Below are 16,013 nucleotides of genomic sequence, written 5' to 3'. Positions count from 1 at the left end.
TTTGCTTTCCCCCACAATGCCTGGCTCAAAGTCTATGGACTTTGGTATAAGCGTACAGAATTTTACAAAGGAGCTCAAGAATGATGAATTTGACTCTTCCAGGCTGTGTCTCTCCTGAGAGTCAATACCCTTAGAAATCTTGGATGATGAAGGAGAAGAGAAATTGGTTCAAATAAGTCTTGGGAAGGAGAGGGAGAACCAACACCATAGCATCTTAAAAATATTATCCCTAGCTACATTGTTTTTCATTGTTTTGTAGGTTTTTATATTTTTTTCTGTGTCTTCTGAGGAATTTTACTGGGAAGATATAAAAGGCTACATCAGGGGCTTCCAGCCAAGTGCTATTTTAAACTGAAGGTCTTTGTTTTTTATAGAAGTAAATTTTACATACAGTAATTTTCTTTCATCCCATGCGTTTTCTTCATGGAGCCATACCTGAGAAGAAAGAGCCAGGAACCAAGCTCAAGTCTATAAGGGGCAAGCACCAAAATAAAATAGAAGAGGATCTAAAAGAGCTTGGTATACCTCCTGGTTTGCTGCAAGCCACATCTGGTTTTATTCACACATTAGATAGGTAGTATGTTAGTTTCCTAGGACTGCTATACCAAAATGCCACAAAATGAATGACTTAAAATAATGGAATTTATTCTCTCACAGTTGTGGAGACTGAAAGTCTGGAATCAAGATGTCAGCAGGGTTGTTTACTTCTGGAGGCTCTGAGGGAGGGTCTGTCCCAGGCCTGTCTTCCAGTTTCTGGTGGTGGCCTGCAGTCCTTGGCATTCCATGGCTTGCAAGATGTCTCGCTCCGATCTCTCTCTATCTTTCCATAGCATCTCCTCCCTGTGTGTCTCTGTGCCCTCACACAGCCTGCTTATAAGGACACCAGTCATTGGATTAAGGGCACATTACTTCTCCAGTGAAATCTCACCCTTAACTAATTATATCTGCCAAGACCCTATTTCCAAATAAGGCCACATTCTGAGATTCCAGGTGGATGAGTTTGAGGGGAGACATTATTCAACCCAGTATAGATGGAAAGAAAGACTTTTAAGTTGCGACAAAATATGGCAGTATTTCTCCAGAGGCTGCCAGGTGAGGCTCCCAAGTGAGCCACCTGCTTGATTACAAGTAGGAGGCTGAGAAGGGTGGTAGGTTGAAAGTTAGGTTATGTCCTCTTAGCATAAATTTGAGGGACAAGTGGACTTTTGAAAATCTAGATGGCTAGCATTTGGTTTTGTTCATTATTGCCTTTCTCACTTTTCTAGCATCTACAGCATCTTTCCCTCTTTCACTTTCCATTCTATCTAGTCAATAGTTCCAGCGCAAAAAAAAAAAAAAAAAAAAAAAAAAAACACTAGACTAGAATTCAAAAACATTGCTTTAATGTCTTGCTTCTGTCATTTACTATCTGTTTGGACTCGAGAAAGTCACGTCCCTGTGCCTGAATGTCCTCAACTGTGAAATAATCAAACTCCCAATGCTTTTTTAAATAAGTTTATAACATTTTTACCTCTGAAGTTGACACTTCTCTAAGGCACTAAGACTTTTGGGATACCATATTTTATCAAGGAAGCAAGGCACTCTGAAATACCAGAGATAAATTTTCATCCAGAATAGTTGATATACAAAAATATGTTTGTTTTAAGTAATAAACTCTACTTACCTAAAAATGTATTTATATGGGACACATATTTATCTGGTATTATTAAGTAATATTCCAGGCCAGCCATCAAAATGAACTACACTGCAAGTAAATATGTAAACAACTGAAGACCCATAGAATACCTGCCCAATGGGTCTTGAATGCTCCATAGAATAAGTTATGCATGTACCTGTTTTATTCATATTTTATGCAGTAGAAAAGAGAGATGAGAGGGTGAGAGGGAAAAAGGGAATGAGAATAAGCTCATTCAATTCCACTGCCTCTTTAAGCTTCAATTTTCTCATTTTAAAAAATTGGGTTGATAATTCCTTTTTTCCTCTGAGCTCTACATTTGTTATACAGTGTGCTTTCAGTATCACATTATCAAGCTCTAAAGTGCTTAGTACCTTGCTAGCATATGGTAAGTGCACAATTCATATTTGTAATAAACGAAGGAATTAGTATGTCAAGGCTACCTCAAGGGGTTCTTCTGAAATGCAGCTTGTTATTGTTTTTACCTATGTCACCCTGTCATCCGTCCCAGTTTGCCTATTGCCAAGTTTTTTTCTTTATTTAGCAGCCCCTGCTTTGGCCACTAGATGGCACCAGAGGAAAGTTCCTTAAAGACAGCAAAAGAAGGAAAGATGGGTGAGGTTAGCCCCAGTATGAATAAAGGAGCCACCCAGGTTAATTAAGTAAAACAAGCACCCAGCATTTCACCGAAGACATTGCAAGGAAGTGAAGCCTTCATGAGACTGGACTTCAAATGAACTTTGAGCACTGGTGGAAACAGAAACAAAAAACTCTCTGCTAATAGAAATAAGATACTGGAACCAAAGACAATAGCCTTGAACAAAACATTCCGGGACACCACGGGTATCAGCAGAATGGGGGCAATCTAAGAAGACAGGCCAGACCAGATCACTCACCATGATTAATGATTATCACCATTACACAGAGAAACCTAGATCTGATATGAAAACTCCACTCAATAGAGCAGATCTGTTGCATATATTTCAGTTTAATTTAATGTGGACTAAACTATATGTAGTTCTCATTTCAGAGTCAATTTTAACCAATCCTTGTGTCATCTATTTAAAGTCACCAAATAACTCCCCTAAATATTGTTACATGGAGGCACCTGGGCTATCCAGACTCAGTTTACTATAGAAGTCACGAATCTAGAGTCCCGAGTGGGCAAAAGAAAGTAGGCATCTGGTACATAATGCTGCCTTTTAAAGCCTCGCTTCTGTCTGGTGCATTGCACGTGACTTACAGATGCAACAGACAACTCTACTTGCTGTGTGATTCTGTGCTTACCAGAAACTTTCCAATTATAAATGGACTTTTCCTGTAGATCTGCCTTCAGGAAGAAAAAGCTATGTCCTTGCAAGCACAAAATTAATTCTCTGAATCTGTCGGACTTAAAACCTTGGACAGTGTTGAATTCTGTGTTGAATGCCCCCTGGAATAGCTCTTCACAGATCACCAAAGCCCTGGTGACCGCATATTGGCCCATTTTCTTCACGTCCTTTTTTTCTACTTTTATAGCCATGATTCTCCATCCTGGTTGCAGATCAAAATTATCCATGAAGATTTTTATTAATACAGATCCCCAGACTCTAGTCCCAAAGATTCTAACTCAGTAGATCTAGGGTTGATCCAGGTATCTGTATTCAAAAGAGACCCAATAGATTCCAATAAGGCTGACCCTAAATCTATGGTGTTTCAGAATCATGCATCTTCTGGATTATAATTCCATAAGTTAGTCCAGGACCATAGAATCATGGACGATATTATTTGGAAAAACGTCTCCAGATGCATAAGAACCCCATACTACAACATCTTCAAATGCTCAGGTTCCCATGGAAGCTCAGTATAAAGGAGGCTGACAGGAAGACACTAGCCCATTGAAGCTTAACACTAAGAAACCAGCAGACCTTTGGGAACTTCAGCTTTTAACTAGGAGTATCCAAAAAGTCCTATTAGCTATTGGAGAAAAGGCTACTGATGCCCTAGCTGGCCAAAAATACATATATGAGACCAAGACCAGATACGTAATTTGTGGGTCCCAGTGCAAAGTTGAAAAGTTAAGAATTTCAAGATGGCAACAGCAGAGCATTAAACCAAGTGTGAGCTCTTTCTGAGAATGGAACGTTGTGCAGCTGCACAGGGCACATGCCCATGAAGTAGCCTATGCGGGACTATTGGGACCAGGCTACAACTGAGGCAGGACAGTGATTTGTACATCAAGGAATAACTGTAATCCGATCAGTATCTGATCTTCCTCTCAATTTGCTTGTTTTTCTGCATCCTTGAGGCAGCCTTTGGGAATCTCTTTAAAATGCAAATTCAGTAGTGTCACTCCCCTGTGCAAAAGCATTCAATGGCATCCCATTGCTCTAGGATCATATCTAAAGTCCTGAGTATGGCCCACAAGTGCCTGTGCCTTCTGGCCCCTGTCTACCTCTCCCACCTTGTGCTCCCATTCTCTTTATGCTCCAGTCACACTGCCCTTGTTTCAGTGCTTGCAATTTTCCAGGCTCCTTTCTCTTCGGGTCTTCACATATGCAGTTCTTTGTGGCTAGAAGAATCTTCCCTGTCTCTTCTCACTTAGCTAAATTCTACTTATCCTTCAGGTCATAGGTTAAATGTTGCTTCTGCATGGAAGCTTTTTTGACCCACACTGGGACACGCTGTCCTCTTACCCTCTATTTGTCCCTTATAAACTGATTTCCACTGTTCTTAAATGGCGAATTGTGCAATTATCTGTTTAAAGGCTATCTTTCCTGCTAGACTACCTGCTTCTCTGTCTTATCACTGCCATATCCCCTTTGCTTAGTGTAGTGTCTGAAACACAGGAAGTAAGTACTCAAAAAGTAGTTTTGAATTAACTAATGAGAAACATGGCAACAAATGAAGAAAGGGTGAAAATATCAGGCACTAGTATCTTCTTCTTGTTGAAGAATCACATTTACTTCCAAAGCCTACTGACCTAATCTTCCAAATCACTCCATACATGGCACTAAACATCCCTTATACAAAGACAGCACAATTGTCCAGGACAATCCAATTTTTAGCTGTCATCATGGAGTGCTTATTAACAACACTTACTTTTGCTCACCAAACTGCCTGTGTGGATGCTGAATTATGTGAATGCTCTACTTATATACCATGATCCAGTAACTCATGAGCCATCTCTCTCTCTCTCTTTCTCTCTCTGTGTAGGCGAACTGATGACAGACAGCTTCTGTGTTTTGGTGGCTGTGGTATTAACAGCAAGCTTAAGTTATTAAACCGAGCAGCTTTAATCCTCGAGGTCTCCTGGAGCAGTAGGGATTAATGTATTTTTACTCCAGAGCCAATGTAGCTATTCCGATGCTCTAAGATCTGCTCTCTGCAATGCCCAAACTGACCCCAATTGCCTTTCTCTAGACCCACTTCTCCACCGTGGGAGAAGTGATGGAATTCTACTTGGAGATCGACCCTGTTACCTTGAACCTGATCATCCTAGTTGCGAGCTACGTCATCTTGCTCCTGGTCTTCCTCATCTCCTGCGTGCTATACGACTGCCGAGGCAAGGATCCCAGTAAGGAGTACGCGCCCGAGGCCACTCTCGAGGCCCAGCCCTCCATCCGGTTGGTGGTGATGCACCCAAGTGTCGCTGGGCCCCACTGGCCAAAGGGGCCTGGCCTTTCTTTGGGGGATCCTGCTCCACTAGGAAAGAAAAGCACCATGGTATGAGGCTGGCTAAGGGACACTGGGGAGAGACCACTAGACTTTCCATAGAGACAAACTGCTCCCTATCGTGGCTCCAATTCTCTCAGCACATGTATCCCGCTTGATGAAGGAAGTGAGAGCTCTGTCTTACTTGCTGTTTTCTCGTCACCTTCTTTGTGACAAAAGTAACTGTTTAAGGTAAGAAGCCCAAAGTGGTCTTTAGTCAAATTCTCCAAATGCAAACTGTCAGCAATGCTGTAGTATAATGAAGTTGGTTACTGGTACATTTCTGATGTTGCTGTCCTTGCAACTCACAGGAGAGAATGACTTTTGAGAAAGGATGCAATATTGTGTGTGTGTGTGTGTGCACGTGCACGTGCGTGTGTGTGATAAGGAATGAGACTAACTCCAGTCTAGTCTATTCTTTGCAAATTCTTTCTTTCCAAGGCAACCAGTTTTTTGTTGTTATTTTTCTTTTCTTTAAGAGACAGAGTCTTGCTCTGTTGCCCATGCTTAAGTGCAGCAGCGTGATCATAGCTCACTGCAGCCTTGAACTGGGCTCAAGCAACCTTCCCACTTCAGCCTCCCATGTAGCTAGGACTCTAAGGTCATGACACCACGCCTGTCTTTTTTTTGTAGAGATGGGGTTTCACTATGTTGCCCAGGCTGGTATTGAACTCCTGGCCTCAAGCAATCCTCCTGCCTCAGTCTCACAAAATGCTGGGATTATAGATGTGAGCTGCTGCACCCAGTCAAGGCAACCCCATTGAACTTGTTCAGACTTCAGAACATTATTATTTCTGTACCTACCAGCTCTTCACGTTCTATTCCCAACTCCAAGACAGAATAAGGAATGCATACAACTAAAACAACAAAGCTTGGAGCCTGGGTTCAAATCCTGCCTCTTCTACTTGCTAGCTGTGTGGCCATGGTTAAGTTGAGCCACCTCTGTGTCTCAGGGATAGTGATTGGACCACTAAGCTTTTGGGGCTATTTAAATGAGTTAATTCACCAAAAGCACTTGAGACAGTTCTTGACACACAGGGTTAGCTATGATGATGATCACTGATAATATTTCCTTCCATATGCCTCATAAAAAATTTAATCTCCAATCCTCAAATCCGGCCTGATCCAATACAAAGTTATTGAAAACTCATTGAAAGAATTCTGAGACCCCACAGCTTGGTGTATCTGTCCCCAGAACACTGCCTGCTCTCCCTTCACTCTCTTTGTTGATGTTGAATGGTATGTTTTTTCCCCTGTTCATTAGTCTATTTCCAAAATTTTTGAATTATTATCTCCATTGTGTGTATTTTTATTAACCCTCCCTTCCCTGAGCTCAGAGAAACGTATGTATTTACTTTGAGATTTACTGAACCTCTTCTTTCCATCAGGACCTGTGTGGAAATAAAGAGAAATGAGTGTCATGACCCTGCCATATGATCTTTGCCGCCCAACAGAAGGAAGCAGGGTCAGGCATGACTTAGACAATGAAAGATAAGAAAGCTTTGCAGATGCTCTTTTAGAAGTCTGCATAGGATGCAGGAGTCAACAGAGACACGAGTGTCTGGCACACAGAAGACACTCAAGAAATATTCGAATAATGTTGAATGGCCAATTTCATCTTAGACTCAGGTACCAAAGATAAGATGATTTGTCTTAAAAGATAAGTAGTTATTTTTCCAGAAGAACCAAAGTATGTTGGAATCTTGAAGGGTAGGACAGGAGATGGCCTTTTAGAAGAAGAAATAACAAAAACAAAGCTTGAAAGCAAAATAATTAGAGTCCATTGGTTGTGAAGGTCTGATGGTGTCCAACATGTGAAGAAAACGTGAGAAATTCAATTTTGGTTTCTCCTGTAGAAAACTGAAGAGGAGGGCCTGGCCAGCCTGCCCTGCCAGCTTTGACAATGAGCACTGTTTTGCCTTTGGATTGTTAAGTAGCTGTAACAAACGTGAAGATAATCCCAGTTACTTTGTTTTCAGGTTTTGATGTTTATTTTTAATTTAATTTGTTTCTTATTTTATCAGAAGATTATATTTTCTCTTAAGTATGTGATTTAAAAACTATATTGAAAACCCTTCAGAGGAAATTTGTTTTCTTTATGAGCAAGAAGCCATCTTCACTTTTTTTTTTTTTTTTTTTTTTGTTCTGAGACAGAGCCTTGCCCTTATCACCCAGGCTGAAGTGCAATGGCACGATCTCGGCTCACTGCAACCTCCGCCTCCCGGGTTCAAGCAATGCTCCTGCCTCAGCCTCCCAAATAGCTGGGCTTACAGGCATCTGCCACCACACGCAGCTAATTTTTGTATTTTTAGTAGACACGGGGTTTCACCATGTTAGCCAGGCTGGTCTCGAACTCCCGACCTCAGGTGATCCGCCCACCTCGGCCTCCCAAAGTGCTGGGTTTACAGGCGTGAGCCACCGCGCTCAGCCACCATCTTCACTTTTATAATGAAAATATAAACTGAATGAAGAAACACCATAAATTCACAGGCAGTTTCTAAGAACCTACCCTTTATATATTATATACTTATATTCCCATGAAAGGGAAAGAAATAAGAAGGTTAGTTCAGATGAAGCTCACATTAAGAAAAGGGCAGGTTCATATATATATATATATATATATATATATATATATATATTCCTAGGAATATATATATAAAATATGTATATATTTTACGGGAATATATAGAGAGAATATATATATTGAATGTATGTATTTCTTTTTTTGTTTGTTTGTTTTCAGGACAAATACTGACACCTTTTTATTGCGTTTTGCACTCTTAGAGGTAGAAAACAAGGCACTAACTTGGTTGTGGCAGCATTAATGAGTATCCTTGTGGAAGGGGTGAGGGGGATGTTGGGCTATGAAACCAGATTTAGACAGGCAGTGTAAATACAACACTCAACTCTGCTCTTTTCATTGTGTGTTTGTTACAAGGCAAAGCAGTAGGTTGGGGCCACTCTAATGCACCACCAGACACTAATAGCTCATATTTACACCAGTAAACCAAATGGTTGCATTTAGGGCTAATCCAGCAGCCAGAGGGGTCCCTTAGGCTTGTGTTGGTAAAAGCACCAGTCATGCCCAACCCAGGGTTTCTCCAGTGCCTTGTAAAGGGACTGCCAGCAGAGCTCTTTAATTTTTATGTTTATCAAATGATGTTCTGTGTTTCTTCTTATGACGAAAGAGGAATCATCTTTAAATGTCAGCACGACGCCTGGCTTAAGTCCGCAGGCTGATGGACTGAACTAATGGGAGAATTGCAGTTCGGAAGAGGTAAAGTGCGCATGCGCAAAGCCAGTGGTCTTTTTACCATTCTTTTTTTTTCTTTTTTTTTTTTTATTATACTTTAAGTTTTAGGGTACATGTGCACATTGTGCAGGTTAGTTACATATGTATACATGTGCCATGCTGGTGCACTGCACCCACTAACTCGTCATCTAGCATTAGGTATATCTCCCAATGCTATCCCTCCCCCCTCCCCCCACCCCACCACAGTCCCCAGAGTGTGATATTCCCCTTCCTGTGTCCATGTGATCTCATTGTTCAATTCCCACCTATGAGTGAGAATATGCGGTGTTTGGTTTTTTGTTCTTGCGATAGTTTACTGAGAATGATGATTTCCAATTTCATCCATGTCCCTACAAAGGACATGAACTCATCATTTTTTATGGCTGCATAGTATTCCATGGTGTATATGTGCCACATTTTCTTACTCCAGTCTATCGTTGTTGGACATTTGGGTTGGTTCCAAGTCTTTGCTATTGTGAATAATGCCGCAATAAACATACGTGTGCATGTGTCTTTATAGCAGCATGATTTATAGTCATTTGGGTATATACCCAGTAATGGGATGGCTGGGTCAAATGGTATTTCTAGTTCTAGATCCCTGAGGAATCGCCACACTGACTTCCACAATGGTTGAGCTAGTTTACAGTCCCACCAACAATGTAAAAGTGTTCCTATTTCTCCACATCCTCTCCAGCACCTGTTGTTTCCTGACTTTTTAATGATTGCCATTCTAACTGGTGTGAGATGGTATCTCATTGTGGTTTTGATTTGCATTTCTCTGATGGCCAGTGATGATGAGCATTTTTTCATGTGTTTTTTGGCTGCATAAATGTCTTCTTTTGAGAAGTGTCTGTTCATGTCCTTCGCCCACTTTTTGATGGGGTTGTTTGTTTTTTTCTTGTAAATTTGTTTGAGTTCATTGTAGATTCTGGATATTAGCCCTTTGTCAGATGAGTAGGTTGCGAAAATTTTCTCCCATTTTGTAGGTTGCCTGTTCACTCTGATGGTAGTTTCTTTTGCTGTGCAGAAGCTCTTTAGTTTAATTAGATCCCATTTGTCAATTTTGTCTTTTGTTGCCATTGCTTTTGGTGTTTTGGACATGAAGTCCTTGCCCATGCCTATGTCCTGAATGGTAATGCCTAGGTTTTCTTCTAGGGTTTTTATGGTTTTAGGTCTAACGTTTAAATCTTTAATCCATCTTGAATTGATTTTTGTATAAGGTGTAAGGAAGGGATCCAGTTTCAGCTTTCTACATATGGCTAGTCAGTTTTCCCAGCACCATTTATTAAATAGGGAATCCTTTCCCCATTGCTTGTTTTTCTCAGGTTTGTCAAAGATCAGATAGTTGTAGGTATGCGGCGTTATTTCTGAGGGCTCTGTTCTGTTCCATTGATCTATATCTCTGTTTTGGTACCAGTACCATGCTGTTTTGGTTACTGTAGCCTTGTAGTAAAGTTTGAAGTCAGGTAGTGTGATGCCTCCAGCTTTGTTCTTTTGGCTTAGGATTGACTTGGCGATGCGGGCTCTTTTTTGGTTCCATATGAACTTTAAAGTAGTTTTTTCCAATTCTGTGAAGAAAGTCATTGGTAGCTTGATGGGGATGGCATTGAATCTGTAAATTACCTTGGGCAGTATGGCCATTTTCACAATATTGATTCTTCCTACCCATGAGCATGGAATGTTCTTCCATTTGTTTGTATCCTCTTTTATTTCCTTGAGCAGTGGTTTGTAGTTCTCCTTGAAGAGGTCCTTCACATCCCTTGTAAGTTGGATTCCTAGGTATTTTATTCTCTTTGAAGCAATTGTGAATGGGAGTTCACTCATGATTTGGCTCTCTGTTTTTCTGTTGTTGGTGTGTAAGAATGCTTGTGATTTTTGTACATTTATTTTGTATCCTGAGACTTTGCTGAAGTTGCTTATCAGCTTAAGGAGATTTGGGGCTGAGACAATGGGGTTTTCTAGATATACAATCATGTCATCTGCAAACAGGAACAATTTGACTTGCTCTTTTCCTAATTGAATACCCTTTATTTCCTTCTCCTGCCTAATTGCCCTGGCCAGAACTTCCAACACTATGTTGAATAGGAGCGGTGAGAGAGGGCATCCCTGTCTTGTGCCAGTTTTCAAAGGGAATGCTTCCAGTTTTTGCCCATTCAGTATGATATTGGCTGTGGGTTTGTCATAGATAGCTCTTATTATTTTGAGATACGTCCCATCAATACCTAATTGATTGAGAGTTTTTAGCATGAAGGTTGTTGTATTTTGTCAAAGGCCTTTTCTGCATCTATTGAGATAATCATGTGGTTTTTGTCTTTGGTTCTGTTTATATGCTGGATTACATTTATTGATTTGCGTATATTGAACCAGCCTTGCATCCCAGGGATGAAGCCCACTTGATCATGGTGGATAAGCTTTTTGATGTGCTGCTGGATTCGGTTTGCCAGTATTTTATTGAGGATTTTTGCATCGATGTTCATCAAGGATATTGGTCTAAAATTCTCTTTTTTTGTTGTGTCTCTGCCCAGCTTTGGTATCAGAATGATGCTGGCCTCATAAAATGAGTTAGGGAGGATTCCCTCTTTTTCTATTGACTGGAATAGTTTCAGAAGGAATGGTACCAGTTCCTCCTTGTACCTCTGGTAGAATTCGGCTGTGAATCCATCTGGTCCTGGACTCTTTTTGGTTGGTAAGCTATTGATTATTGCCACAATTTCAGCTCCTGTTATTGGTCTATTAAGAGATTCAACTTCTTCCTGGTTTAGTCTTGGGAGAGTGTATGTGTCGAGGAATTTATCCATTTCTTCTAGATTTTCTAGTTTATTTGCGTAGAGGTGTTTGTAGTATTCTCTGATGGTAGTTTGTATTTCTGTGGGATCGGTGGTGATATCCCCTTTGTCATTTTTTATTGTGTCTATTTGATTCTTCTCTCTTTTTTTCTTTATTAGTCTTGCTAGCGGTCTATCAATTTTGTTGATCCTTTCAAAAAACCAGCTCCTGGATTCACTGATTTTTTGAAGGGTTTTTTGTGTCTCTATTTCCTTCAGTTCTGCTCTGATTTTAGTTATTTCTTGCCTTCTGCTAGCTTTTGAATGTGTTTGCTCTTGCTTTTCTAGTTCTTCTAATTGTGATGTTAGGGTGTCAATTTTGGATCGTTCCTGCTTTCTCTTGTGGGCATTTAGTGCTATAAATTTCCCTCTACACACTGCTTTGAATGCATCCCAGAGATTCTGGTATGTTGTGTCTTTGTTCTCGTTGGTTTCAAAGAACATCTTTATTTCTGCCTTCATTTCGTTATGTACCCAGTAGTCATTCAGGAGCAGGTTGTTCAGTTTCCATGTAGTTGAGCGGCTTTGAGTGAGATTCTTAATCCTGAGTTCTAGTTTGATTGCACTGTGGTCTGAGAGATAGTTTGTTATAATTTCTGTTCTTTTACATTTGCTGAGGAGAGCTTTACTTCGAAGTATGTGGTCAATTTTGGAATAGGTGTGGTGTGGTGCTGAAAAAAATGTATATTCTGTTGATTTAGGGTGGAGAGTTCTGTAGATGTCTATTAGGTCCACTTGGTGCAGAGCTGAGTTCAATTCCTGGGTATCCTTGTTGACTTTCTGTCTCGTTGATCTGTCTAATGTTGACAGTGGGGTGTTAAAGTCTCCCATAATTATTGTGTGGGAGTCTAAGTCTCTTTGTAGGTCACTCAGGACTTGCTTTATGAATCTGGGTGCTCCTGTATTGGGTGCATATATATTTAGGATAGTTAGCTCTTCTTGTTGAATTGATCCCTTTACCATTATGTAATGGCCTTCTTTGTCTCTTTTGATCTTTGTTGGTTTAAAGTCTGTTTTATCAGAGACTAGGATTGCAACCCCTGCCTTTTTTTGTTTTCCATTTGCTTGGTAGATGTTCCTCCATCCTTTTATTTTGAGCCTATGTGTGTCTCTGCACGTGAGATGGGTTTCCTGAATACAGCACACTGATGGGTCTTGACTCTTTATCCAACTTGCCAGTCTGTGTCTTTTAATTGGAGCATTTAGCCCATTTACATTTAAAGTTAATATTGTTATGTGTGAATTTGATCCTGTCATTATGATGTTAGCTGGTGATTTTGCTCGTTAGTTGATGCAGTTTCTTCCTAGTCTCGATGGTCTTTACATTTTGGCATGATTTTGCAGCGGCTGGTACTGGTTGTTCCTTTCCATGTTTAGCGCTTCCTTCAGGAGCTCTTTTAGGGCAGGTCTGGTGGTGACAAAATCTCTCAGCATTTGCTTGTCTGAAAAGTATTTTATTTCTCCTTCACTTATGAAGCTTAGCTTGGCTGGATATGAAATTCTGGGTTGAAAATTCTTTTCTTTAAGAATGTTGAATATTGGCCCCCACTCTCTTCTGGCTTGTAGGGTTTCTGCCGAGAGATCCGCTGTTAGTCTGATGGGCTTCCCTTTGAGGGTAACCCGACCTTTCTCTCTGGCTGCCCTTAACATTTTTTCCTTCATTTCAACTTTGGTGAATCTGACAATTATGTGTCTTGGAGTTGCTCTTCTCGAGGAGTATCTTTGTGGCATTCTCTGTATTTCCTGAATCTGAACGTTGGCCTGCCTTGCTAGATTGGGGAAGTTCTCCTGGATAATATCCTGCAGAGTGTTTTCCAACTTGGTTCCATTCTCCCCATCACTTTCAGGTACACCAATCAGACGTAGATTTGGTCTTTTCACATAGTCCCATATTTCTTGGAGGCTTTGCTCATTTCTTTTTATTCTTTTTTCTCTAAACTTCCCTTCTCGCTTCACTTCATTCATTTCGTCTTCCATTGCTGACACCCTTTCTTCCAGTTGATCGCATCGGCTCCTGAGGCTTCTGCATTCTTCACGTAGTTCTCGAGCCTTGGTTTTCAGCTCCATCAGCTCCTTTAAGCACTTCTCTGTATTGGTTATTCTAGTTATACGTTCTTCTAAATTTTTTTCAAAGTTTTCAACTTCTTTGCCTTTGGTTTGAATGTCCTCCCGTAGCTCAGAGTAATTTGATCGTCTGAAGCCTTCTTCTCTCAGCTCGTCAAAGTCATTCTCCATCCAGCTTTGTTCTGTTGCTGGTGAGGAGCTGCGTTCCTTTGGAGGAGGAGAGGCGCTCTGATTTTTAGAGCTTCCAGTTTTTCTGTTCTGTTTTTTCCCCATCTTTGTGGTTTTATCTACTTTTGGTCTTTGATGATGGTGATGTACAGATGGGTTTTTGGTGTGGATGTCCTTTCTGTTTGTTAGTTTTCCTTCTAACAGACAGGACCCTCAGCTGCAGGTCTGTTGGAATACCCTGCCGTGTGAGGTGTCAGTGTGCCCCTGCTGGGGGGTGCCTCCCAGTTAGGCTGCTCTGGGGTCAGGGGTCAGGGACCCACTTGAAGAGGCAGTCTGCCGGTTCTCAGATCTCCAGCTGCATGCTGGGAGAACCACTGCTCCCTTCAAAGCTGTCAGACAGGGACATTTAAGTCTGCAGAGGTTACTGCTGTCTTTTTGTTTGTCTGTGCCCTGCCCCCAGAGGTGGAGCCTACAGAGGCAGGCAGGCCTCCTTGAGCTGTGTTGGGCTCCACCCAGTTCGAGCTTCCTGGCTGCTTTGTTTACCTAAGCAAGCCTGGGCAATGGCGGGCGCCCCTCCCCCAGCCTCGCTGCCGCCTTGCAGTTTGATCACAGACTGCTGTGCTAGCAATCAGCGAGATTCCGTGGGCGTAGGACCCTCAGAGCCAGGTGTGGGATATAGTCTCGTGGTGCGCCGTTTTTTAAGCCGGTCTGAAAAGCGCAATATTCGGGTGGGAGTGACCCGATTTTCCAGGTGCGTCCGTCACCCCTTTCTTTGACTCGGAAAGGGAACTCCCTGACCCCTTGCGCTTCCCAGGTGAGGCAATGCCTTGCTTCGGCTCGCGCACTGTGCGCGCACCCACTGGCCTGCGCCCACCGTCTGGCACTCCCTAGTGAGATGAACCCGGTACCTCAGATGGAAATGCAGAAATCACCGGTCTTCTGCGTCGGTCACGCTGGGAGCTGTAGACCGGAGCTGTTCCTATTCGGCCATCTTGGCTCCTCCCCGAATGTATGTATTTCATGGGACTATATATAAACACCCATAAAATATATATATTATATATTCAATATATATTAAATTTCTCATTATGTATATTCAGTGATTAATATATATACACTGATTTTATATATAACCAGTGAATATATAATTATTATGTATATAATGATATATATAATATTGTATATAATTATATACAATATTATATAATACATAATAATATATTATATTATATTATATATAATAATTATAAAATATAATATATAATAATATATTATATTTTATAATATATAATAATATATTATATTTTATAATATATAATAATATATAATATATTATATTCTATAATATATAATATATTATATATTATAAAATATAATATATAATATATTATATATTATAAAATATAATATATAACATAATATATATTATAAAATATAATATATAATATAATATATTATAAAATATAAAATATAATACTATATTATATATTATAATATATAATATATATTATATATTATAATATATAAGATATATTATATATTATAATATATAAGATATATTATATATTATAAAATATAAGATATATTATATATTATAAAATATGATATATATTATATATTATAAAATATAATAGTATATTATATATTATAATATATAATAATATATTATATATTATAATATATAATAATATATTATATATTACAAAATATAATAATATGTTACATATTATAATATATAATATATTATAATATATATTATAAAATATAATATATTATAATATATATTATAAAATATAATATATTATAATATATTATAATATAATATATTATAATATATATTATAAAATATAATATATTATAATATATTATAATATAATATATTATAATATATATTATAAAATATAATATATTATAATATATTATAAAATATATAATAATATATTATATATTATAAAATATAAAACATAAGTGAAATACTTTTAAATGAATGTTCTTTTAAAAATTTTGAAAATTTTATTTTTAATAGGAATCCAAGAGAGAAGAATATTTTATTTTCTTAACTTCAATATTAGATGCATTGAACATTTTATATTTCTCTCTCGGAAAAAACTAAAAATACTCTAAAGAGAGTGTTGGAATAGACGGCATTGAGTTATTCCAAGCCTCTGGTTCATTTGATTTGTGATTCATTCAATTTGTTCTTCAAGAAGGAACCAACTTCTCAGTCTTTAAAACAATCTTTTCAATATAAAATGAAGCCTTAGAATCTTGTAAGAACTAGAACTAAGAATTTTAC

The 16,013-nt window shown here is 39.1% G+C and overlaps 1 protein-coding gene across 3 annotated transcripts in view; it reads left to right on the top strand.

Annotated features, from left to right (window-relative positions):
- SMIM36 (small integral membrane protein 36) overlaps positions 1 to 16,013 on the top strand; it is an 82,292-nt gene that overhangs the window by 15,709 nt on the left and 50,570 nt on the right. For 2 of the 3 annotated variants that reach the window (XM_047435095.1, XM_047435094.1), the window contains one exon: positions 5,078 to 5,603. In XM_047435095.1, the coding sequence (XP_047291051.1) occupies positions 5,078 to 5,386 (309 nt within the window). In that variant the 3' untranslated portion in view covers positions 5,387 to 5,603. Of the gene's footprint in view, positions 1 to 4,986; positions 5,604 to 16,013 lie in introns of those variants that run through there. The other variant, NM_001395421.2, reaches the window with a different exon arrangement.

This window comes from Homo sapiens, chromosome 17, assembly GCF_000001405.40.
Source record: "Homo sapiens chromosome 17, GRCh38.p14 Primary Assembly".
NCBI classification, from domain to species: Eukaryota; Metazoa; Chordata; class Mammalia; order Primates; family Hominidae; genus Homo; species Homo sapiens.
Note: the sequence above shows the minus strand (reverse complement) of the source record. Positions and strands in the feature narration are given on the sequence as shown.